This window comes from Homo sapiens, chromosome 1, assembly GCF_000001405.40.
Source record: "Homo sapiens chromosome 1, GRCh38.p14 Primary Assembly".
NCBI classification, from domain to species: domain Eukaryota; kingdom Metazoa; phylum Chordata; class Mammalia; order Primates; family Hominidae; genus Homo; species Homo sapiens.
Window position 1 is genome coordinate 240,378,549 of NC_000001.11, and position 27,852 is coordinate 240,406,400.

Here is a 27,852-nt window from a genome sequence, read left to right on the forward strand (position 1 = left end):
TTTTTCTGTCTCCATCTCTCGGTTTGTTCTGGGACTAAAATGATACATTATGCTAGAATGTTTACTAATGTCACAGTTCATCAATATTCTGCTCTCCTTTCAATCTTTTCCTTTATGTGCTTCAGTTGGAATAGATCCAAATTTTACATCTTAAAGTTTATTGTTATTTTCCTCTGCAGTGTCTAATCTTACGTGATTTCCATTCAGTGGACTTTTTATTTCGGATACTGTATTTTTAACTTTACAAGTTCCACTGAGTTCTTTTGTTTATATCATCCATTTTCTTCTCATTATGTTCATGTTTTTCTTTAATATTTGAGGGTGGTTACTAAAAAACTACATTCGTATTAATATCCTTATTTGCTGGTTCATCTCCTGTCATTCCTGGGTCTGTGTCTATTGACTTAAAGAATGTGATTGCGCTTTCCTGATACTTGGTTGGTCTAGTAATTTTCTTATTAAGTGCTAGACACTATGCACATTATGTTGTTGGGTGTGTAGGTTTTGTGCATTTCTTTAGAATATTTGGCTTTCTTTAGGCAGATAATTTAAACAACATGTGACTCAGTTGATCCCTTTAAGGCTTGTTTTTAAGCTTTGCTTAGGCTAGTCTGGGGCATCCTTCATGCCAGTGATAATTTGGTTTTACTAATAATTTACCTACCCCACTGAGGTCTCCAAGACCATCCTGTCTCTTGTGATCAGTGACAGCTCTCCACTCTGGCTCTTTAGACATCGAACATCTTTTGGCCCTGTAAAAGCTTTGGGAATTGTTAAGCTTATATTTTCTTGGTGGTTCTTTGCTTGTACTTGTATAATTTTACTGTATACAGGTGCCACTTAATACCCAGCTAAAAGTCAGAAAGCTTAATGCAGATTTTTGATCCTTCTTTTCTGCAAAGTATTTCCTCTCTGGAACTCTGTTCCTCATCTTTTAGTCATGTCAGCCTACCTAGACTTCTATCTGTATTTCCTCAACTCAGCAAAACTGGTTGGCTTATTTGGGGTCTCCTTTCTAGCATCTATGATTTTAAAATTGCTTTTAGACAGAAATCTAGGAAGATTGAAGGGCACTACACAGATCAGACTCCTATACTGCTTATTTTTCAGTATATGAAAACAGTTTCATATATTAAATACATTTTTCTAGTTAATTACAGCAGGAGGGTAAGTTTGGTTCTTTTCAATTAAGTCCGGAATTAAGTTCAATTAAGTGGAAGTTCCACTTCAATTAAGTTGATAAAGGATCAACAAAACAAAACGTTGGTTTCTTGAAATGATAAACAAAATAGATAGACCACTAGCTAGATTAACCAAGGAAAAAAAGTGGAAATATTTTTCCACTGGTTTAAATTTAACACAATTCATCAGGTCAACAGGATTTCACTATCCAAAATATATATGCACCCAATAGCAGAGCACCCAGATTCATTTAAAAAAACATATTGGTGGACCTAAGACAAGAGATAGACAGCAATAGAGTAATTTGGGGACACTTCAATACACCATTGGCAACATTAGTCAGATTATAAAGGCAGAAAATCAACAAAGGAACTCTGGGCTTAAACTGGACTCTAGACCAAATGGAAAAACATTTATAGAATATTCTACTTCACATCAACAGAACATATATTTTTTCTCATCTGTCCATGAAACATTTTCCAAAATTGACCATGTGCTTAGCCAAAAAGCAAGTTTCAATGAATTTTTTAAATGAAAATAATATTAAGTGTCTTCTCAGACCACAGTAAAATAAAATTGAAAATCAATACCAAGAGGAACTCTCAAAAAACTACACAAGCATGTGGAAATTCAACAACTTGCTCCTACAAAACCTTTGGGTAAACAACAAAATTAAGGTAGAAATCAAAAGGTTTTTTGAAATGAATGAAACTAGATACAACTGCTACTGGGTACATATATATTTTGGATAATTAAATCCTGTTGAACTGATAAATTGTGTTAAATTTAAACTAGTGGGAAAATATTTCCACTTTTTTCCCTTGGTCAATACCAAAACCTCTGGGATGCAGCAAAACAGTGCTAAGAGGAACGTTTATAGCATTAAATGCCTACATAAAAAACACAGAATGATCTCAAATTAACAATGTAACATTGCATCTCAAGGAGCTAGAAAAGCATGAACAAACCAAACTCAAAACTAGTTAAAAAAAAAAAAAAGAAATGGCAAAGATCAGAGCAGAACTAAATGAGATTGAGACCAAAAAAAATGATAAAGGATCAACAAAACAAAAAGTTACCTCTTTGAAACGATAAACAAAATAGACCACTAGCTAGATTAACCAAGGAAAAAAAGATTAAAATAAGCACAATCAGAAATGATAAAGGTAACAATACAAACTGATACCAAAGAAATACAAAAATCATCAGAGACTATTATGAGCATCTCTATGCCCACAAACTAGAAAACTTAGTAACAAGTAATGAAATTGAGTCAGTAATTTTTTTAAAAAAATCTCTAAACAAAAATAAGCCCAGAACCAGACAGATGAACAGCCAAATTTTACCAGATATACAAAGAGTTGGAACCAAGCATATTAAAACTATTCAAAAAAATCAAGGAGGAGGTGTTCCTTTGTAACTCATTCATGAAAACAGTATGACCCTGGTACCAAAATCAGGCTAGAACACAACAACAGAAACAACAGAAAACAAAACACACAGGGGTATATCTCTGATGAGCATAGATGCAGAAATTCTCAAGAAAATACTAGCAAACCAAATCCAACAGCACATCAAAAAGATAATATTATACATCACCATCAAGTGGGTTCTATTTTAGGAATGCAAGGATGGTTTAACATACACATGTCAATAAATAATAATTTACCACACAAAGAGATTTAAAAAACCATATGATCATCCTTTTTCTTTTTTTTAGACAGATTCTCGCTCTGTCACCCAGGCTGGAGTGCAGTGGCGAGGTCTTGGCTCACTGCAGCCCCTGCCTCACAGGTTCAAGCGGTTCTCCTGCCTCAGCCTTCTGAGTAGCTGGGATTACAGAAACACGCCACCATGCCCAACTAATTTTTGTATTTTTAGTAGATACGGGACTTCTCCATGTTTTCCAGGCTGGTCTTGAACTCCTGACCTCAGGTGATCTGCCTGCCTGGGTCTCCCAAAGTGTTGGGATTACTGGCATGAGCCACCCTGCCTGGCCAATCATCTTAACAGCTGCAGAAAAGGCATTCAGTAAAATCCAACATTGCTTCATGATAAAAACCCTCAACAAAGTAGACATTGAAGGAACATATCTCAAAATAGGAACCATTTACAACAGACTCCCAGGCAACATTATATGGAATGGGGAAAAGATTAAAGCATTTTCCCTGAGAACTGGAACAAGACAAGGATGTCTACTCTCACCACTCCTAATCAACATAGTGCTGGAAGTTGTAGCCAAAGCAATCAAGCAAGAAAAAGAAATTAAAGACATTCAAATTGGAAAAGAAGAAGTCAGATTATCTCTCCTCACTGATGACATGATCTTTTAAACCTAGAAAACCCTAAAGATCCCTCCAAAAGATAACTAGACCTAATAAATGACTTCAGCAAAGTTTCAGGTTACAAAATAAATGTATAAAAATAAATATCATTTCTGTACACGATTAACATTCAAACTGAGACCAAATCAAGAACTTAGTCCCATTTACAATGGCCATATACACAGAAGTAAAACACCTAGGAATATTTAACTAAGGAAGTAAAAGATCTCTGCAAGGAGAACTACAAAACACTGATGAAAGAAATTGTGTAGATGGCACAAATAAATGAAAAAACATTCTGACTCATGGATCAGAAGAATCAACATCATTAAAATACCGGCTGGGCCTGTAATCCCAGCACTTTGGGAGGTCAAGGAGGGCGGATCACCTGAGGTCAGGAGTTCGAGACCAGCCTGGCCAACATGGTGAAACCCCACCTCTACTAAAAATACAAAAATTAGCCAGGTGTGGTGGTGGCTGCCTGTAATCTAAGCTACTCAGGAGGCCGAGGCAGGAGAATTCCTTGAACCCAGGAGGCGGGGGTTGCAGTGAACCGAGATCGTGCCACTGCACTCCAGCCTGGGTGACAGAGTGAGACTCCCTCTCAAAAAGAAAAAAAAAATGACCATACTGTTCAAAGCAATCTACAAAATTGCAGAAGTGCAATTCCTATCAAATTACCGACATCATTTTTCACAGAAAAAACAATCCTAAAATTCATATGGAGCCAAAACTGAGCCTGAATAACCAAGTAATCTTAAATAAAAAGAAAAAAAAACAGGCATCACGTTTTGTAGCTTCAAATTGTACCACAAGACTATAGTAACCCAAACTGCATGGTACTGGTACAAAATTAGGCACAATAGATCAGTAGAACAGAATAGAGCACCAAGAAACAAAGCCACATATGTACAACCAACCAATCTTAAACAAAGCTGACAGAAATAAACAATGAGTAAAGGACACTGTATTCAATAAATGGTGCTAGGACAATTGGATAGCCATATGTAAAACAATGGAACTGGACCCCAGTCTCTCACCATATACAAAATTTTACTCAAAATGGGCTAAAGACTTAAATGTAATACCTGAAACTGTAAAAATGCTAGAAGAAAACCTAGGAAAAATTCTTCTGGACATTGGCCTAGGCAAAGAATTTATGACAAAGACCTCAAAAGCAAATGCAACAGAATAAAAAATAGATAAATGGGACTTAGTTAAATGAAAACGCTTCTGCACAGCAGAAGAGATAATTGACAGAGTAAACAGACAACCTATAGAATGGGATAAAATACTTGCAAATTATGCTCCTGAAAAAGAATTAGTATCAAGAATCCACAAGGAACTCAAACAACTCAACAAGAAGAAGACAATCCCATTAAAAAGTTGACATTTCTTAAAGAAGACATATAAGTAGTCAACAAATTTATGAGAAACTGCTGAACATTATTAGTCATCAGTGAAATGCAAATTAAAATCACAATGGGATACCATCTTTCAACAGTTAGAATGGCTATTATTAGCAAGCCAAAAACAGCAGAGGTAGACATGGATGTGCAGAAAAGGGAATAGTTATATACTGTTGGTAGGTATATTAGTACAACCTCTACAAAAAACAGTTTGGGGATTCCTCAAAGAACTAAAAGGAGAACTACCATTCGACCCAGCAATCAACCCCATTGCTTGGTATCTACCCAAAAGAGAAGAAATCATTGTGTAGGAAAGACACCTGCATTCATATGTTTATTACAGCACTATTCTCAGTGGCAAAGTCATGGAATCAACCTGTATCCATCAACAGCATCACAACAGATGACTGGAGAAAGAAAAAAAATATATATATATATATTCTTTATATATGGAATACTACTATACTATGTGTACTACCATATATATATGGAATACCACTCAGTCATAAAAAGAATAAAATTGTGTCCTTTACAGCAACATGGATGCAGCTGAAGGCTATTATCCTAAGCGTATTAACACAGAAAGTGAAAATTAAATGCTACATGTTCTCACTTTCAAGTGGGAGCTAAATAATGGCTACACATGGACATAAAGATGGAAACAATAGACCTGGAGTCTCCAAAGGTGGGAAGAGGAAGAGGAGGGAAGGGTCAAAAAACTACCTATTGAGTACCATGTTTATTATTTGGGTGATGGATTCAATAGAAGCCCAAACCTCAGCATTATGTAATATATCTATGTAACAAACCTGCATATGTACCCCAGAATCTAAAATAATAATATTTAAAAGAAAGAAATATATTCTAGGCAAAAATAAATAAAATGAACACAGTTCAGCCTCTTTTGCTTTGCCTGTTGTATGATCACACCATGAGAGGCTGGTGCTGCCTCTGCACAGCATTTTTGCCAGCTCTTTTCCATTGTATTTCCAGTTTTGTCTCCTTTATCTTTCTTCTTGACATCTCGAACTATGGTGCACCTTTGCTTCTGTGTCTTTTTTCCCACTGTTCATTGTTTACCCTCTCCGGTCTCTGCTCCTTTTTCTACTTGACTAAGACTTGTTCATCATTTTAGTCCCAACTCACCCTGCATTGCCTTTGTCTTTTCCTTATTGACTTCTCTCTCGATAGGCAAATGGATGTTTCACTTAACTGTACTCATAACTAATTTGCCAGTGTTAAGGCTTTGGAGTCAGACTCCATGAGTTGGAATCCTGTCTCATTTATTTAGTGTTTCTGGAATCTAAATCAAGTTTTTTAATTGCTAATTTCCTGATTTTAAGTGGGAATAATTATAAACCCTTTCTTACAGGGTTTTATTATCTTGGGTTATTATATGTAAAGAATTAGAATAGTAATATCAACATCATTCCATATTAACATTCCCATTTAAACATCTCTAAAACATCTACATGTATGATTATTTGTCTCTCTCTCCATCTACCATTTTCTTAAAGGAAAAAACTATGTAATATTTACCTGCATATGAGTCCCCAACAAAGCTAGACATTCAAATGTTGACTGAAATATTGTAATGTTAAATTATGTGGCTTTTGTCTGTAGGATTGGAATGACCTAGGCTTTAAGCATTGTTTTGGCAAGTAAGATTAGGAAGAAAAGAAACACATCAGAAGTTTTTTTGGCTTTCTTATTTTTGTTTCCAGCAGTTTTGTGTTTTGATAGTTTGAATCCCTAAATTGAAATTAATTGGTATTGCTTTCAATATGGAAAGCTCAGCCCTAATGCGTGTATTTACTTATTTTTAGTTAAAGGCTCAACGAGGTTTTCGTTTTATCCGAAGGATTTTTATTTAAGTTCAGCCTGGTATTAGTAAGTATGTATGCTTCATTTATATTCTTCAATAGGGTAGTTGTCTCTTAGCAAAGAAAAAGGAAAGGAATTGGCCCAAGGCATGTCTTTATTTCTATGCTACATTAGTGAAAGTCCAGGAGAGATTTGCTTAGCCTGTAGGTAGAGTAATATATAGATTTGGGTATGATTTGATATAAAAATTTAGTTTGAGTTAGCAATTTTCTAGTTGGAAAATTGTTCCAGCTCCTTTAGACTGTACTGTCTACTGTACTGTCTAGCTCGTGGATGCGTATTATGTTTTCCCATGTCTTCTCTACTTTGGGTTTAAAACGAAGATTTGGAGAGGAATTTCACTGAGGACCACTTCAATACGTACATCAGGCTGGGTGATAATAGCACACGGCTTTCCTGTATTTTATGTTTGGCTGGAAGCCACATATAGAATTTTTAAAGTATGTGTCATTTTCTATTATGTATATGTTTCTTGAGTTTTTAATAACTAGCCCCCATATGTTTATATACACCTATATTTCTAGAGGCACAATGATATATATATATATTTATGTACAAAGTTGAAATAACCCTCAGTATTAAATAAAAGGTAGCTGTAAATTATTGCAAAAGTCAGGTTGACATTTTATGCCTCAAATGCTCTCTTTCTTCCTCCTAGGAGTATTCCACAACATTGTTTTATTGTCCTAAGAACATGCACAGCATAGAGAAGGAAGATGCATTGGGACTTAGTTATTTCTCTTGCAGTCTAAGGAAAGATATTCTGAAAGTCATGCACTGTGACATGTATGAACTACTTAAATTTACCTGACTTTTAGTTCATTGTCAAAAGGAAGAGTGTGTCAAAAATCTCAAAACTAAGGCAATATATCTTCAGTTAAATGACAACTTTAAATGAGTCAGAAGAAAGGCACTGCATCTGTCTAAAAAATATCCCATACTGGCTGCACTTAAAAGCAACTGGAATGCACATTCATAGCTAATTATAAACAAAAACTAGTTAACACTTTAAATAAAAAGGAAAAATAGCAAAAAGATTTAGAGCCTAGACAAACAGATGAAAGGGTTCTGAGTTGCCTTCCATCTGATATTACTCAAATGCAACTCTGTCTCCAATTACCTGGGAATATGTGGTATTCCCTCATGAAAGCTCAAGATCAGAAAGGGCGTCCATTTCGTGTCTTTGCTTACTCATAGCCATTTGGAACAAGTTCAGCAGAAGTATTTCACATTGCGAAAGAGTCTGGAGCCAGACAGCGACTACAGACACTAATCACTGGGTCAAAATAGTAACTTAGTAGGACAGCAACCACCAGAAAGTATTTGTGGAGGTAGAAATGTGGAGTCGGATATATTAGTGCCGTTGGAGAAGATATCACCAAATGCAAAAATGCTGTAACAGAACCATTAAATCACTATTTGTAATCAGTTTCATGTTCAGTGGCACAGGACTGTCTGAGCCGATGGTCTCTTTGGTAGGATCAGACCTAAAAGGTAATCTTATGCCCTTAACTCTAGAATAAATAGATGGAAAGAGAATTAACCAAATAAATAAAGGCTGCCTCCTAAAACATTTGGTGTTTCTTTTATTGTATGGTTCCAAGTACAGGCTTTCTTTGCCTCAAACTGCAGATCTCTAGCATTTGAGATTTGCGGGGTGGGCAAAAGGGGAAACATCATTGCTAAAATAATAGGTGCAGCAATTGATCAACTTCCCTAAGGAGCTGCAATTTTAGGTCTATTCAAATAAGAGTTACTGGTATTCTCTGAATATTGTCATTATAAACCACTTTTCATTGTTGCCTTTTTTCTTAAACTACATCATCCTGTTCCTTTCCTCCAGTGTCAGTAGAGAATTGATTGCTTTATTTTACTATCACTCTACTCCGCTACTACTTCTATTTTCAGTAGACTCTATCTCGGAACATTTTCCTTGGCAGTGGATCTCAAACTCCAAGCTATGAATAATTACCCACAGTATGTTTGGAATAAAAAGGTGAGCTTTAGAAGAGGATTAAGCATTTTTTAAAAATCATTCTTTTAGATTTCATCAGGTTCTCACTAAATTCACATGAAGTATTATCTTATCCCTTGTAGCAATTTTATTTACTGCTATGTCTTTAAAAAGTGGGGAGGGGACTAAGGAGCTATTAGCCTCTGTGTTTATCCTGTAGGCATTGGACTTCTCCATTCTATGCCAATTAAAACAACTTCACACACAAATTAAGTAGAAATAAAATCTATTAAATATATTTTAAAGCAATCCCGTGGTTTTATAAAGGTCTTGGGCCATAATTTCTCTGTTGCTGTAAAGAGGCAACCTTATTTTAGCAAAGTATATTTTTAATTCAACATCTGGATTCTGTATAGAAAAATTAACAAGGAAATATGTGAGATTCCTACAATGGAAGACTTTTCACATATTGCAAGCAATGCATCTCCATCCTACTTTGTAGTAATACTGATGTGGGCATAAAGGAAAGACAGGAAGAGGATGACTAGACACCAGGTGATTTATACATTATCTTATTAAATCATGAAACAGCTCGGCCAGGCACGGTGGCTCATGCCTGTAATCCCAGCACTTTGGGAGGCCGAGGCGGGTGGATCACGAGGTCAGGAGATCGAGACCATCCTGGCTAACACGGTGAAACCCCGTTTCTACTAAAAATACAAAAAATTAAGCCAGGCGTGGTGGCGGGTGCCTGTAGTCCCAGCTACTCAGGAGGCTGAGGCAGGAGAATGGCGTGAACCCAGGAGGTGGAGCTTGCAGTGAGCTGAGAGCGGGTCACTGCACTCCAGCCTGGGCGACAGAGCAAGACTCCCATCTCAAAAAAAAAAAAAAAAAAAAGACTAGGAAAAAAACGTGGTGCTCAAAGCAAAAAAAAAAAAAAAAAAAAAAAAAAATCATGAAACAACTCAATGAAAAAGAAATTATTACCCTGCTTTAATGATGAATAAAAGTTATTACATCAAAGAAGCGATTATTCAAAGTTATTAAAATCTACTGCAATTCAGTGGCTGCATTACAATTCAAACCCAGGTTTGCCTGACTAAAGCTCATGTTCTAGCTCCCAACACTGGACCTTGTGGGATCTGAAGATGAGAGGCAGAGTGTGAGAAAGACCTTGCAAAGTATAAGCATTTACAAAAAAGTGTAGCTTTTATGGTCCGAGGTGGAGGAGAGGTGATTGCTCTCAGAGATCTGGGATGCCCTTGGCCAGTGATGTCCATTAGGCGTCATAAAAATGTTTCTGTCAAAAGTGGTCTTTGGGAGGCTGAGGCAGGTGGATCACCTCAGGTCAGGAGTTCGAGACCAGCCTGACCAATATGATGAAACCCCATCTCTACTAAAACTACAAAAATTAGCTGGGTGTTGTGGCATGCGCCTGTAATCCCAACTACTCGGGAGGCTGAGACAGGAGAATCACTTGAACCTGGGAGGCGGAGGTTGCAGTGAGCCGAGATCTCGCCATTGGACTCTATCCTGGGCAACAAGAGCAAAACTCCATCTCAAAAAAAAAAAAAAAGGGGGGGGGTCAAGCATTGCTGGGCGACAGTAGCACAGAAAGCCCGGTGATTTGATGACAATGTGAAGATCACCAGCCAAGCCTTGTGCCTATTTGTCTATTTTGAATGCTGCTTTTGCTACCCTATAATTATCTTGATTATGAATGACTGGAAATCTGCCATCCTGATCATTTGAATCATGTCAAAAAGAAATGAGGTGTCTACTCTAAAGAGTTGGGAAGTTAATCTTGTAGTAGAAAATTGAAATCTTTTTTATCTCTTGTATGCAATTCACTCGGCATACTTTATTTAAATGAAGTTTATTAATAGTTGATTATCTGTACATAAGAAACTGCTACTAAAAGTTACACTGGCTTTCAAAACTCTGCAAAACCATTTATGCCATTAGAGATTATCTGAAAATATTTTTTGTACTTCTAGAAAACAATACATGTATAAATATATATAAATAACAATAAGTTGTTGCAAATAGAAAATCACCTTATTTTCTGTGTTACCTTCAGCAAAGTCATGTTTGAAAGTCTGTGCTTATAACAGTGGTGGTACACAGCCTATAAAAGTTGTTTCTCAAACTGAAAAGCATAGCTGGTCTGATTGGGGTCACTGCATGTAATTAGCTTGCTTGCTCCATAAATGAATGGCAGATTTGTTTTATTCCAAATGATATCTTAATTTTCACCGATTAAATTACATTTTATTTTGGTTTGGAAGGTTCACCCTCACTATGTAAAGCAACCACATCCTGCAGTTGTCACTAAGTTAACACCATAAGTATGTTTAAAAGAATTGTTGGCCAAGCATGGTGGCTTATGCCTGTAATCTCAACACTTTGAGAGACCGAGACGGAAGGATTGCTTGAGCCTCGGAGTCTGAGACCACCCTGGGCAACATAGCGAGACCTCCATCTCTACAAAAAATAGATTGAAAAATTTAGCCAGGTGTGTTGGCATACCCTGTAATCCCAGCTACTTGGAAGGCTGAAGCAGGAGGATGACAGGAGGAATTGCAGCTTGCAGTGAGCCATCGTTGTACCACTGCACTGCAGCCTGGGTGACAAAGTGAGACCCTGTCTCAAAAAAATAAAATTGTGACAATAAAATAGTGATGATGCATTTATGCAAACACCATCTTGGAAAAAGGGTATCTCTGTTTTTCCATAAAATGGAATTGCACCCCAATTTTTCAGAAAGTTTTTCCTGAGATTGGTATACAAAGGAAATCTGTTCAGTTCTTTGAATTGTTGACTCTACATCAGGAATTGAAATGTGTACTCTAATGTTCTTGCTTTGATCTCTCATTTGACTGTTTATCAAAGCTGATTACAGTTTGAATACCCAAATCCCGTTAGCTTCAAAACTATGTAAAATAATGTATAATAGAGCATTTTAAGAGATTTTTTTCTTATTCCAGTTTGTCTTTATGATTGTGATATGGCTATTAGGTTTGGTAAGAAGCTTTGGTTTTATATTTTGTTCCCTCGATAAGAATCAGTCTTCTGCCAAATTGGATTAAAGTTTTTGTTTCGGCCAAACTTGCTCACGCAACTAAGCAACAGCTGTTTCGGTGAACATCAAAAGAAGTCATTATGAACAAATGAAACTTACTTTATTCCACTAAACACAATTTAGGAGCTTATGCTTTTTGAAAAGCTGTATGTGTTTTCTTTATTGAATATAACATTGGAATATAATTATTAGTTGACTTACTCAGTTAAACATTATGTATGATATCACTTTAAGAATTTTGAGATCTTCAGGTCCAGAATTTTCCAAGGATATTTATCTATTAAGTTTCTACTGATTATTGGAGGCACCGTGCTAAGTATTTTGTACATGTTAACAGATGAATCTGCCTAAAGTCACAGAGCTAATTTAAGTGGCAAAATCAGGAATCGAATACAGATCTCTGGCATCTTGTTCTACTGTGGTGTGTTTTTAAGTTTCATAAATCATTTACTTTAATCTTCTAAAATAGTCTAGAAATTCCTTCTTCTAATCTGCCTGAATCTCTGTACTTTGCAAAGAAAAAGCAAAGATATGTGAGGGCAACTGAAAAAATAACCTTCCTGAAAATAGTATGCATTGTAGTGCTTTTGTTATTTTGCCTAAACAAACTTTATGTGTTCCTAGAATTGTTTCTGGAAGCAAATCATCTTTTATGCTAGGCAACTCAGAGCAGATTTTGTATAAAACAATATGTTCGTGCTGGAGCCTTTTCAAAGTAAAATCATAGGATATTCATTCTTTTTTTAATATAGTTAACAATTGACCTGTAAGTTTATACAAACAATCTGACATACAAAAAGGGAAAGAAAAGAAAGAAAAAAGTATCTGCTGCCACCTGAAATGATCCCTGTGAAATCCTGAAAATCCTGGCAAAGAGTGGCAACGTGACACTGGGTTATGACTTTGCAGATACCATGCAAACCTTTGAAAGAACACTGTCTTGAGGCTGTAAAACATGAACTAGCCTAAGCCGTACTATTGTGTTGTAAGTAGTGATAAAGACACTGACAGTTCTCGAGTGACCATGGGTTTTATTTCATGCACAGTTCCCATTTTTTTTATAATCAATTTGCCCTGCTCCACTGTGTCTCCTAAGTTCTCCAAATGGCCCCACATGTGACCCAAAGAGGAATGATAATAAAAAGACAACTTCTTCTTTAACTAGTCCCAGGATTTATTTTTTACATTTTACTTTTTTTTTGTCCTGTTACTCAGTGATTTTCAAACTGTGGGTCACAAACCATTAGTGAGTCATGAAATCAGTTTAGCAGGTCCCAACTAATGTTTTAAAATCTGATAGATAGGCTAAAAATATCAGAGAGCATTGCATGAAATAAGAGTATCTTCAAAACTTTCAGGTCAAACATATATTAATATGTATGGAGGTATGGGGAAATGGGTGAAGGTGAAGTAGTACATAATTCCTAGAATGCTTACTTGTCAAAAAAAAAAAATGAAGTCACAGCCATACTTTAAGTGATGGAGTTCTTATGTTATTTTAAGCAGTTCGAAATACTGATTTAATCTCCTTAAATTTGACCTTTGGGTTTGTAGCAGATCACAATTCTTTATTTTTAAATAAAAATGATAGCAAGTAAATGGGTATATTATCACATTCCCCCTTTTCAGAACAGACCATGATCTGTTCACCTGTGGTCTGATATGAACTATTGAAATGAGTTCAAAATTCTTAACATAACTGAGAAATGTCACATACCATTTCTGTTTAGGGTTTTTTTTTTTGACGTGTTTACACCTTTGCTTGAGGGAATTATTTCCACTAATTGTTGGCATTTAAACACTGACACATCTGATGTAAATATGAAACTAGTGTTTTCTTTTCTCAGGTTAATGTGACTGAGTTAAAGAAATTTTTTCAGAATCTGAAATTTTTGATTAGATAATATATCTTGTCTGTGTCAATATAATAAGATCAACTTAATTAAAATTAAGTAGAATCATTTAAATCATGTATCTATGACATCCATAGATTTGAAATAAGCTTCTGGTTGTAGTACAATAGAATTAATAATTAAAATAAGTTACGTTATGTAGGGCAGATGTTGCTTGAAATAGTGTAACAACTTATCATTTATCTCATGTACTTTTATTTTCTTGCACTTTCAGCCAAAATTGACCAAGAGGCAGAGGAAAATTCACTGACAGAGACTCATAAATGGTGAGAAATTACTTTATTTCCTCCCAGAATAGCGTTATAACATGCTAAGTGTATTTCATCTTAAGGAACCAATTTTTAGTTCAATTTTAATTTTCAAGCATAAAACAAAAATAAATCTAATAAAATGGTGTGCTCTAAATCTACAATGAATTTCTGAATTTTATTTTTGTTATTCTGGGTAACATATAATTCTGTTAAATACCAAATTATTGTGAATAGCTTAGCATCTTCTCTTTTACCTGGGATTTAGAACTATGGAAATACACAAAAGAAGGAAGATAGCAAGAACCTGTTTCAGAGTTTGGGTTATCAAAAAAAAACTATGTGATTTCCATATTCAAAAGTGAAGTCTAGGTAGGAAGCGATGAGCTTCCCTTGGATGCACCTTCATTTCCAGAATGGAGACTTGCAATTATGGGTAAACATAGAAAATATCTCAGAAATCTCCCTGCTTTTCTGCCTCCATTTTCTCTTCTTCTCGCATCTCTCTATATACGTCAGGGTTCTGTAGAAAAAAAGAACAAACTGGCGATACAGATATAAACACACACACACAGGCATACCTCATTTTATTGCACTTCTCTTTGCTGTGCTTTGCAGATAAGTGTATTTTTTTTTTTTCACAAATTGAAGGTTTGTGGCAACTCTGCTTCTAGCAAGTCTATCGGTGCCATGTTTCCAACAGCATGTGCACACCTCATGTCTCTGTGTTACATTTTGGTAATTCCTGTAATATTTCAAACATTTTATTTTTATTATCTATCACCACAGGTGATCTGTGATCAGTGATCTTTTATGTTACTATTGTAATTGTTCTGGGACACCATGACCTGACCCATATAAGATGGCAAACGTAATAGAAAAATATTGTATGTTCTAACTGTTCCACCAACCATCTGTTCCCTTGCGTCTCCCCTCTCCTCAGGCCTCCCCGTATTCCCTGAGACACAACAATATTGAAATTAGGCCAATTAATTACCCAACAGTGGCCTCTAAGTATTCAAGTGAAAGAAAGAGTCACACATCTCTCACTTTAAAACAAAAGCTAGAAATGGTTAACCTTAATGAGGAAGGTATATCCAAAGCCAAGATATGCCCAAAGCTAGACGTCTAGTGCCAAACAGTTAGCCAAGTTATGAATGCAAAGAAAAAGTTCTTGAAGGAAATTAAAAGTCTATTTCAATGAACACATGAATGATAAGAAAGCAAAACAGCATTCTTGCTGCTATGGGGAAAGTTTAAGTGGTCTTAATAGAAGATCAAACCAGCCACAATAGTCTGTTACACAATAGTCTGTTGCCAGGGGTTTGGTTTAGCACAGCTACTTGCCACACAGAAAGCCAATCACTGAGATGAGTATTGCCAGGGAAGAAGGCTTTAATTGGGTGCTGCAGCCGAGGCGATGGGAGCTCAGTCTCAAATCCATCTCCCTGACTAACTAAAATTAGGGATTTATATAGCAGGGAAGAAATGTAACCATGTGTGGGAGAACAGGAATTAGGGAGGGGTAAGGAAGAGGAGGTACTCAGCAGCAAGCAGCTGGTGGGTTAGGCAGTCACAATGGGTGAAGGGTCTGGCCTCTCATTGTCCAGATGCAATGATCTGGTGAGTTTCAGTTCCTTGATACTGTCTTGGAAGCCTGATGGTTGGTTTCTGGAGAAAGGAACTCAAAAAAGACAAATGTAACTTTCTCAAGTTTCAAGACCAGAAGGGTCAGTTTCTATGTTTATTCAAATTAAATCATAAACATCAGTTCTATGGGACCATTGAGCCTGTTTCAATTCCCTTAAACCAAAGCCTAATCCAGAGCAGGGCCCTAACTCTATTCAATTCTGTGAAGGCTGAAATAGGTGAGGAAACTGGAGAGGAAAAGTTTGAGGCCAGTAGAAGTGGGGTCATGAAGTTTAAGGTAAGAAACCTCTGTAACAAAAGAGTGCAAGGTGAAGCAACAAGTGCTGATGGACAAGCTACAAGCTATCCAGAAGATCTAAGATAATTCATGGAAGTAGCTAAACAACATATTTCCAATGTAGATGAAACATCTTCTGTTGGAAGAAGATGCCATCTAGGATTTTCATAGCTAGAGAGAAGTCAATGCCTGACTTTAAAGCTTCAGAGAACAGGGTCGGGCGTGGTGGCTCAAGCCTGTAATCCTAGCACTTTCGGAGCCCAAGACGGGTGAATCACCTGAGGTCAGGACCTTGAGCCCAGCCTGGCCAACACGGTGAAACCCCGTCTCTACTAAAAATACAAAAATTAGCCAGGCATGGTGGTGCATGCCTGTAATGCCAGCTACTCAGAAGGCTGAGGCAGGAGAATCGCTTGAACCCAGGAGGCAGAGGTTGCAGCGAGCTGAGATCGCGCCACTGCACTCCAGCCTGGGTGACAGAGTGAGACTCATTCTCAAAAATAAGTAAATAAATAAATTTTTTAAAAAGTGAAGCTTCAGAAAACAGGATGACTGTCTTGTTAGGGGATAATGCAGCTGGTAACTTTCAGTTGAAGCCAGTGCACATTCACCATTCTGAAAATGCTAGGGCCCATAGGAATTATGCCAAATCTCCTCTGCCTGTGCTGTATAAATGGAACAACAAAGCCTGCACATCTGTTTACAGCATAGCTTACTGAATATTTTAAACCCATTGCTGAGACCCATTGCTCAGGAAAAAAAGAAAAGATTGCCTTCAAAATATCACATCTCATGGACCATGCACTTGGTCACCCAGGAGCTCTGCTGGAGATGTACAAAGAGAATCACGTTTCGATGCCTGCTAACACAGCATTCATTTTGTAGCTCATGGATCAAGGAGTAATTTTGACTTTCAAGTCTTATTAGTTAAGAAATACATTTGGTAAGGCTATAGCTGCCATAGGTAGTGATTCCTTTAAGAGATCTGGGTGAAGTAAATTGAAACCTTCTGGAAAGGATTCACCATTCTAGATGCCATCAATAACATTCATAATTCCTGGAAGCAGGTCAAAATATCAGCGTTAACAGGAGTTTGGAAGAAGTTAATTGTAACCCTCACAGATGGTTTTGAGGATTCCAAGACATCAGTGGAGAAAGTAACTGCAAATGTGGTAGAAATAGAAAGAGAATTAGAGGTAGAGTCTGAAGATGTGACTGAGTTGCTCCAATCTCATAATAAAATTTGAACAGATGAGGAGTTGCTTCTTATGAATGAGCAAAGAAAGTAGTTTCTTGAGGTGGAATCTACTCGTGGTTAAGATGCTATGAACGTTGTTGAAATCACAACAAAGAATTTAGAATACTACATCAACTTAGTTGACAAAGCAGCAGCAGGGTTTGAGAGGATTTACTCCAATTTTGAAAGAAGCTCTACTGTGAGTAAAGTGCTACCAAATGGCATCATATACTACAGAGAAATCTTTTGTGAAAGACTGAATTGATGTGGCAGATTTCATTGTTGTCTTATTAGCCACCCCAGCCTTCAGCAACCACCATTCCAATCAATCAGTAGTCATCAACATCAAAAAGATATTAAGTCACTGAAGACTCAGATAATTGTTAACACTTTTTAGTAATAAAGTATTTGCTAATAAAGTATGCATTTTGTTTTTCAGATGTAATTCTGTTGCATACTTAATAGACTATAGTATAATGTAAACATAACTTTTATATGCACTAGGAAACCAGAAAATTCGTGTAACTCTATTACAATATTCATTCACTTTATTGCAGTGGTCTGGAACCAAACCCACAATATCTCCGAGGTTTTCGTGTGTGTGTGTGTGTGTGTGTGTGTGTGTGTGTGTGTGTGTAAAGAAAGATAGAGAATTGACTCATGCGATTGTAAAATTGGCAAGTCTAAAATTAGCAGGGCAAGCTGACAATTCTGGTAGGAGTTGATGTTGCAATCTTTTTTTTTTTTCTCTTTATAAATTTTAACTTTTAGATTAAGGGGTACACGTGCAGGTTTGTTACATGGGTACATTGCACGACACTGAGGCTTAGAATCTAAATGGTTCTGTCATCCAGGTATTGAGCGTAGTACTCAGTGGGTGGTTTTTGAGCCCGTGATCCCCCTGCATTGTTGAGTAGCCCCAGTGTCTGCTGTTCCCATGCTTATGTCTATGTGTGGTCAGTGTTTAGCTCCCACTTATAAGTGAGAATAGGCAGTATTTGGTTTTCCGTTCTTGCGTTAATTCTCTTAGGATAATGGTCTCCAGCTCCATCTGCGTTCCTGCAAAGGACATGATTTCATTCATTTTATAGTTGCATAGTATTCCATGATGTATGTGTACCACATTTTCTTTATGCAGTCCACTGCTGATGGGCACCTGGGTTGATTCCATGTCTTTGCTATTGTGAATAGTGCTGTGATGAACATACGAGTGTGTGTGTTTTTGATAGAACGCATTATTTTCCTTTGGGTGTATATCCAGTAGTGGGATTGCTGAGTCAAATGGTATTATAGTTCTGTTTTCAGTTCTTTGAGAAATCTCCAAACTGCTTTCCACAGTGGCTGAACAACTTTGCATTCCCACCAACAGTGTACAAACATTCCCTTTCCTGCACAGCCTCGCCAACATCTGTTACGTTTTGACTTTAATAATTGCCATTCTGACTGGTGTGAGATAGTATCCCATGGTGATTTTGATTTGTATTTCTCTGATGATTAGCGATGTTGAGCATTTTTCCATGTTTGTTGGCCACTTACATGTCTTCTTTTGAGAAGTGTCTATTTATGTCCTCTGCCTATTTTTTAATTGGATTGTTTTTGCTTGTTGATTTGTTTAAGTTCCTTGTAGTATTGCAATCTTGAGTCTGAAGCAGTCTAGAGACAGAATTCTTTCATATTCAGGAAGCTGAGTCTTAAGGTCTTCAACTGATTGGAGGAAACCCAGCATGTTTTAAAGGGAAATCTACTTTTTTCAATGCCTAGTAATTTAAGTGTTAACCACACCTAGGCCAGGCACGGTGGCTCATGCCTGTAATCCCAGCACTTTGGGAGGCCGAGACAGGCAGATTACTTGAGGTCAGGAGTTTGAGACCAGCCTGGTCAACCAGCCTGGCCAACATGGCAAAACCCTGTCTCTACTAAAAATACAAAAAATTAGCCAGGCGTGGTGGTAGGGGCCTGTAATCCCAGCTATTCAGAAGGCTGAGGCATGAGAATCGCTTGAACCTGGGAGGCGGAGGTTGCAGTGAGCCAAGATCGCACTGCTGCACTCCAGCCCAGGCAACATAGACTCCTTCTCAAAAAAAAAAAAAAAAAAAAAAAAAGTTAACCACACCTAAAAACTGCTTTCACAATACCATCTAGACTGGTGTTTGACCCCAAAATGGGCACTATGACCTGGCCAAGTTGACACATAAAATTAACTATCACAATTTCTAAAGAGAAACCTTATTAGCCTTGAGGAAAAAATGTATTAAAGAAGTTCTCTGCCATTAATTCAGTAGGCAAGATCTTTTTTTTTTTTTTTGAGACATAATCTTGCTCTGTCACCCAGACTGGAGGACAGTGGCACCATCTCAGCTCACTGCAACCTCCATCTGCCAGATTCAGACAATTCTCATTCCTCAGCCTCCCCAGTAGCTAGAATTACAAGCGTGCACTGCCATACCCAGCTAACTTTTTTTTTCTTGTATTTTTAGTATAGATGGGGTTTTGCCATGTTGGCCAGGCTGGTCTCAAACTCTTGGCCTCAAGTGGTCTGCCCGCCTTGGCCTCCCAAAGAGCTGGGATTACAGGGATGAGCCACCGTGCCTGGCCGGCGACATCTTTTATATTCACTGAACAGATATCACATATTTAGTAGTTCTTGGCTTGATATAAAATATTGTCTTAGCAAACTAGTAAACAGAATTCTCCAGTTTCTGTGAAAAGCAAAAGCTGAGGTCAAAGGCCTGAAATTATAAAATCAGAAATTTCAGTGAGTTGCATGAAAAAATTACTAGCAAATGACAAAATCGTTAGTAAAAGAGCCATCTTTTATAATTAAACAATGAACCCCAAAATTCAAAAGTAAAAATAAGAATAATGAATCATATGAAACATTTGACGTTTCTCCGAAGAAATAAGTCTGTGTGCCATTTTCTCAGCAGTCCTATGTAACCGGGGCAACAATCAGTAGTAATTCTGTGCAGGAAAGCAGTGTAACTCTGATCCTCTGGCCTTTTGAGTCTGAATCTTATCTTGCCTCTTACACATGATAGCTCTATGACCTTAGACCAATCCCTTCACCCCAGGAAAATAGTATCTACTTTGTAGGTGAGAATTAAATGATCTCTGGCAGATGCTTAGTCCCAAGTGATCAATAGATGTTAATTGCTATGTTATTTTCACATTATTTTTATAATCAGAAATTATAAAAAGTTTAGTGGTAGAATTAGAAACCAGAGTCAGATTTCAGACTCGGGCAATGTATTTGTTTGTTGTCATGTTTCTCGCTGTCTCCATGGATTGCAGCCCTGGGCAGTCTCGGATGGTTATGGAGCATAGATTTTGGAATCAGCTCTGTATTTTGGTACCTGCACCAAACTGCTGGCACCATGGCTCCGAGGATTTATCTCAGGTTTTGAATCCATGTCCTTATCTGTGAGAAAAAGAAAAACAATGTCCACATTATAAATGTGGTGATCAGTTCATTACTTAACTGATTAAGTAGGTTAAATGAGTAAAATATGTATGTCGAGTATCAACTTCATAAGAGCTCTTCACAATTTCCTTTTCTTCCATTTACCATAATACCTGAGCTTGGGAGACTGACTTTTAGCATGAACTATCTTCATAGCAACCATTAAACTGGAAAAAACAATATAAAACAGTTATTTAACATGTCTAGAAATTGTTCTATGGACTTGCAGCAAATGAGGAATCATTTGTCCAAGAAAATCTAAATCATGGTAAGAACAGTGAGAGTCTAAGGCATTCGAATCACTCCCTGTTGTGTCCTATTACGTCTTATGGGAGCCGCTGCAGGAGCTCTAATCCAGACACTTATGGTAATGAAGATAGGAGCTTCCACTCTCCCAAGCTCCTACGCTGAGGTTATGGCTTCTCACTGAGTCAGCAGGCTGCCAGAATTACTCATTCCACCACCTCCAGCTTATTGCAGACGTTCTGTTCCAGACTAACAATGCAGATAAGAGGGGGCTCCCTTTCTCAACACTTCCTTACTTAAAGGGCAGATGCTCCAGCTCAGGTGTAGCCAACCGAGAATGCTGGGCCCCAGTGCTTCCACTCTAGCTGATTTTAGGGCAGAGATTCTACACCAGGAGGGAGAATACATGAAGACTAGGGGCCCCCCACCTCAGCTCCTTCTTACACAGCAGGAGTGTTGCTTTGGAAGAAGTGGACCACTGTCCTAATCCTAGCTTTAACCATTGTGCAGGTGCACAGAAGTCCTGCCCAGAGCTCTACAGATCTGCTTGAGAAGGCAGATTTTGTTTGGAACAGAACATGAAGAATTTCATACCTAAGAGCTTCGTCTGAAAGAATAGAGGTCTAGATGGAGAGCAGTTGAGAGGGCGTTCGCAGCTCCATGATACAGCAGCAACAAGCAAAATGGCTAAGCAATCAGAAGTTTAACAGAGAGATCAAGGGAAGAAGATAGCCAAGAAGGATCCTTTTGGGATCATAATCAATCCCAGAGGTTGGAAGGCTGTGCATAAGCTTACTAGGCTGCACCCACTAATGAGCATCAGATCAGGAGGTCAGGCTGACGTGGAAACAATCCCCAAGCTGTGTAGGGATCCATGAATATATGCTGTAAGCCTCACTGGCAGCAGGGAACTCAGCGCAACCGCTGGCCACCACTGGCAGAACAATAAGATATGTAACCCAGGGGCAACTCATGGGAAGCCAGGCTAAAAAATAAAATCACCTATATTCCTTCATATAGTCTGTCTAATAGCCACAAAATAAGCACACCAGCATCAGCCGAGTTAACTGCTTCTAGGACCTTGTATGTAAGCAGGCAGAAACATTTCTGCCTGGTGTACTGTGGGCTTCCACCTGCCCGGCTGGCTGGTAGGCTGCCTCCTCTCAGGCCTTTGAGGGAATGGTGGACTTTGACCCAGATTCTAGAGTCCCAGGTCTCCTTCCCAGCTTTGAGGCCTTGAATATTTTATCTGCCACCCCAATCTCAACAGTGGCTCACCATATGTACTCTCTCCCCATGTAAATTTCTTTAGAACCCAAAGCCTCAGTTTTTTATGGAGTTCTTCTTTTGCTTGAATTGGCCAAGACTTTCTTTACTTCCCCCCGACCACCACACACACACACAATTGAAACAAAATACATACACAGGCCGGGGGCGGTGGCTCACACCTTTAATCTCAGCACTTTTGGAGGCCGAGGCAGGCAGATCACCTGAGGTCAGGAGTTCAACAACAGCCTGGCCAACATGGTGAAATCCCATCTCTACTAATAATATAAAAAAATTAGCCAGGTATGGTGGCATGCACCTGTAATCCCAGCTACTCCGGAGGCTGAGGCAGAAGAATCGCTTGAACCCGGGGGTCAGAGGTTTCAGTGAGCTGAGATGGAGCCACTGCACTCCAGCATGGATGACAGAGTGACACCCCATCTAAAAAAAAAAAAAAAAACATAGACATGCACATACACATATACAGATCCTCACTGTATTTTATCTCTAAATATTTCAGTTGTCTTGGCAAAGCCTAGAGGGAGAGGAGAGCTAGGAGTATGAATTTAGGCATACATTTTTCCTGTCTTCCATTTCTCCTTTTATTTTTATTATAGATTATTCTTATCATGTTCCATGTATCATATTATCACAAACCAGATGAAATTCACTTTGGAGGCAAGATTTGGAGGTACTCAAAAAGTTGTTCTTCATTTTCCAGCCTTCCATTTAGCCCTTTGACGTTGAGACAGAAAATACACGGGGAAGTTTCATTTCTATGAATATATCAAAAGGTTCCTAATCCATGGAATTGGCTGGTGAGATTCTGTTTTTATCTCAGTGATGCTGTAACAGCCAGACACAATTTAGTTTTACTTTACACCCTGTGGCAGGAGATCCACTGACAAATTGGTGACAAATTTTTGTGCTTGATTTTTAAAAATGGTTGAGAGTTATTTACAGATAATTGTGATAGCTGAGTTGGGCTATCAGATGCCTTAAGGATCAAAGAAGGATCATATAATAACTGAACAGCCTTTTCTGTACCAAAAGAGAAGTTTCCCAGAGCTTTTGAGGCAATTTGGCATTCCATATGCTCACCAAGGTTATCATGAAAGAAGGCAGGGCTGCGTGGTGGACAGGACGCTGACATTTCCTCTTAGCCTAGCTCTGCCACTCCAGAATTACAAGTGAGTAAACCACAGAAAGTTCCCCAAGTTCCCGGGCCTCCACTTCGTCATATGTAAAAAGGAATATAACCTCACCCTTTCTTTCATCCTCCAGGGCTGTAGGAATATGGAGTACCTTGTTCTTTGCAAAGCTTCTTCAAGTGTGGCTCCTAAGAGGCCTTTCTTGAAGGCTTATTCATGTGAAAACATTTTGTAAACCTCACACACACATTATCAGCTTGCTTTGAAAGGAATTATACTCATTTGTCTTTACATTCTAGTACATTTTTTAAAACATCTTGACTCTTAGCCCATTTAAAATGGATAAGCTGAACTTTTATCAAGAAAATAATTAGAATTGTCTTCTATAAATAGTATTAAAAACAAACAATGGTGAGTATATTTTTTAAATCAAGCCAGATCATTTTTCATATTCCATTTGTTAGCATAATAGTTTTAAATGTGCTAATTCTGTTTATTCATGCATTTTTGCTATTAATCTAGAAAGTGGAACTTTGAGCTCCTTTTTCACATGAGCAAAACTGTATAGCTTTCGAATAAATGGTTTAACTGAACTCTGCAGTTCTCCTGGAAAGTAAGGCGGCTGGGCAGATGAGTCTTGAACCATACCCAAAATGCAAATGCAAAGCAGATGAATATATTCTCATCTTCAGATGATTTCACTGGGCAAGCCAAGCCATCATATTGTATTACAAGATGGATTTCGGCAGAATATTGTTAAGGTTGGCTTCATCCCCATTGTGTGTGTTTATGTCAGCTTCTGCTTCTATTTTATTTTTAATTAGCATACACGGCTTTCTTCAATTATGGAAAAGTATCACCAGACCAAATATGATTGTTTTTATTTCCTACAGAGTCACTTAATGTCTATGTCAGCTCATAGGCAGAGAATGTAGAAATTTTGAATTTGTCTAATAAATGTCCATTCCTTTATATTTAAATTTAAAAAATAATGAGACTGGGAATGATAAAATCTGCTTTATTACTTAATGAACTAAGGCTAACTTGAAATTTTTCTTCAGACTTTTTTCTTCTATTTCTTTAAATTCTACAGGTAAAAACTATATTTTCAGGTGAAATTGACTTTTGACGTAGAAAAAGAAAAGGTTTTAGAAACACAGTTTGTTCCAGCTATCAGTTGCATTGATTTCACTAATTTAATTCTGGCATCAATAAAGCTAGTAGAAATGACTGAATGTAAAGTTTGAATTCTATTGCAACTATTCAGTTAGATAGCTTACCCTTGTTAGTCAGTTGAAGGTGACATTCTGGACAAAGGAAATCAGGGTGAGAAAGGTGTACACCCTCTGTGAGTAATGACAAACAAAGTAATGTGTATGAACTACTCCTATCATTTTAAAGCAATTGTTTTCTAGGAAGTTTGTGACTTTTCCTACAGATTAAAACATTTAGTTTAAGATGTTTATATTTTTCTACAAGACATACATGCTATTGAAATTTTTATATAAAACTTTAAAAATGCCTAGGTGCAGTGGCTCACACTTGTGATCCTAGCACTTTGGGAAGCTGAGGCAGGCAGGTCACCTGAGGTCAGGAATTCAAGACCAGCCTGAACAACATGGCAAAACCTCATCTCTACTAAAAATACAAAAATTAGCCTGATGTGGTGACAGGCGCCTGTAATCCCAGCTACTCGAGAGGTTGAGGCAAGAGAATTGCTTGAACCCAGGGAGCAGAGGTTGCAGTAAGCCAAGATCATGCCACATGTTTCAAAATAGAAGTCTTTTTTTTTCCTCCAGGAGCTAAAGATATCTAGAAAGATTATATATAACTAATCTTCTGATGAGACCGTAAGATGATAGTGAATTTGTTTAATAAGGAAGCAAATAGCACAATTAAACTTAGAGAATTAATAAGTAATGTGCTTTATTTGGACATTATTATGTGATAAAGATTGGACTGTATAGTTTAAAAATGTACTCAATGGATCTCATAGGATCTTTTAAAAAATATTCTTAAAGAGAATACACTACATTCCCTCTCCTACTTAAATAATAGCAAGGCAATTGGAAACAACCAGTAATAAAAGGCAAGAAATTGTAATGGAAGAACGCATATTTGTAGAAGAACTTTAAATCACACATTTTAAAAAATAAATACTATTTCTGCATGTAATATTGCTTAAGTGGTATTTTAGCAAAGCCAAGATTGTATAACAAATGAGTTGAAATGGAAAATTAATCTTTCATGCAAAATAAAGACAAAAAAGGGGAAAGAAAGAAAGCGGAATGTGGGTTCCACTAGTTTCATACAGTATGTAACTATTCATTTGTCACAGGAGAGAAAATATTTAATCGGTTCTGAACTGATGCACACATACTTTATCATGTTTAGTGACTTTTAGAGTGTCAGTTTGTAAAATGTTTATCCAAGGAATGGACTTCTGGCACATGGATAAAATGAAAAGTGAAATGTTTAGTTCATAATAGGCATATTTTCCAGAATCTTTCTGAGTAACTATCCGGAGATGAATAGAAAGACTACAGGTCTGTGTTTATCTGGCTTAGGCTGGCCGACCAGGCAGGCTCCAGCCTGGTATTAAAACTGAAGTGACATGGAATGTCTTTGCAAAAGCCCCAAACAATGACATCATTCCCTTAATAATATTGATAATGTAGAACAAAGTTAGAGTTTGTTATTTCCCAATTTGGATTTCTTAGTTAACTACTTCTAATCCTGGCAGAAGATTTACTGTCTGGAGGCCCAGCAGAGCAAGGCTTCCCAGGTGGAAAGCTGTTGTTTCATGCCTTTTATTTTCGGGCCGTGTGGTAAGTTTTAGATACAGCAACTTTTCTTTGTACAAATGGATTTTCTTCTGTGGCTACATTATCCAACTTTTATAAAATCCATTGACTTTCAACAGTAGGGGAGCCCATGACACCCTTTGCAGATTTTCTGGCCTTGGAAAGTTATACAAAATCTGAGGTGGAGATCGCTCCTGAAGTTTGTTTGTTAGCGTTAGCGCTTTTCAAGTAGAAGGATTTCAGGATTTTCTGATTATGAGAATTTTAATGTTTTTTTCCAGTCTTGGTTGATAATTATAAGAGAAACATCAAAGAATTCCTGCCCTTTGGAAAAGTTATGTTGTAAAAATGGAAGCTTTCCTTTGTATAAACTTGAGATCCTTCCCACCCCAATATTTAAAAATATTTGTTGGCCTAGAACAGACTAAACTGTCTCCAGAAGCTATGTTCTCCAAGTTAACAGAGGTTAGAACTCTTAAACTTTTGTGCCCTAAAACCTAAAGGAAGAGTAATGAAATCACTGTGTGTTTGCCGGGGATTCTAATCACCGTGCTCTTGAAATGCAAGTAGGGCAAGGGCTGGAGAGGGCGAAGATAATACCAGAAAGGAAGGATATACTATTTTGTCTACAGTTTTGTTTTTTAAAAAAATAGAAAGTAGAAAGGATAAGGGCTAGCAAATGAGGTTATGAAGTGTCTTTAGGCCGGGCGCGGTGCCTCACGCCTGTAATCCCAGCACTTTGGGAGGCCAAGGAAGGTGGATCACCTGAGCTCAGGAGTTCGAGACCAGCCTGGCCAACATGGAGAAACCCTGTCTCTACTAAAAATACAAAATTAGCAGGGCTTGGTGGCACATGCCTGTAATCCCAGCTACTCAGGAGGCTGAGGCAGGAGAAGGGCTTGAACCCGGGAGGCGGATGTTGCGGTAAGCTGAGGTTGCGCCACTGCACTCCAGCCTGGGCGACAAGAGCAAAACTCCGTCTCAAAAAAAAAAAAAAAGAATGTGTTTAACTGTAGTATCATGTTCCAGATCCATTAGGATTGTCCATCTTGAGAAAATACGCTTCAAGCACCGCAGAGATTCCAGAACTCAATAGTTAAATAAATTGAGTCTACAATCATTGTTCAGAGGAAGAAAAAAATTTTTTTCTAAGGAGAATGAAAGCATGAGTTAGTGATTTATATCTACGTTTTATAAGGCAAATCAGAAATCAGCTTTAGAAGATTGTCATTAGAAGGGCTCATTTGCCTACAAGTTACAAAGGATCAATTCAATTACATTACACGCCCAAAGGCATTTCTCAGAGGCCTCCAGAATCCCATGCAAAGGGAAGCAGCCTCAGGAGTGGGGGAAGCGAAGGGAAGCAGCCTCAGGAGTGGGGGAAGCGAAGGGAAGCAGCGTCAGGAGTCGGGGAAGCGAAGGGAATCAGCCTCAGGAGTGGGGGGAGCGAAGGGAATCAGCCTCGGGAGTGGGGGAAGCGAAGGGAATCAGCCTCGGGAGTGGGGGGAGCGAAGGGAATCAGCCTCGGGAGTGGGGGGAGCGAAGGGAAGCAGCCTCGGGAGTCGGGGGAGCGAAGGGAAGCAGCCTCGGGAGTGGGGGAAGCGAAGGGAAGCAGCCTCGGGAGTCGGGGGAGCGAAGGGAAGCAGCCTCGGGAGTGGGGGGAGCGAAGGGAAGCAGCCTCGGGAGTGGGGGGAGCGAAGGGAAGCAGCCTCGGGAGTGGGGGGAGCGAAGGGAAGCAGCCTCGGGAGTGGGGGAATGGGTCAGA

The 27,852-nt window shown here is 38.1% G+C and overlaps 1 protein-coding gene across 5 annotated transcripts in view; it reads left to right on the top strand.

Annotated features, from left to right (window-relative positions):
* The window catches only part of FMN2 (formin 2), a 383,305-nt gene that overhangs the window by 286,666 nt on the left and 68,787 nt on the right, over nt 1-27,852 (top strand). For all 5 annotated transcript variants that reach the window (NM_001305424.2, NM_020066.5, NM_001348094.2 and 2 more), the window contains one exon: nt 13,963-14,014. In NM_001305424.2, the coding sequence (NP_001292353.1) occupies nt 13,963-14,014 (52 nt within the window). The remainder of the gene's footprint in view (nt 1-13,962; nt 14,015-27,852) is intronic.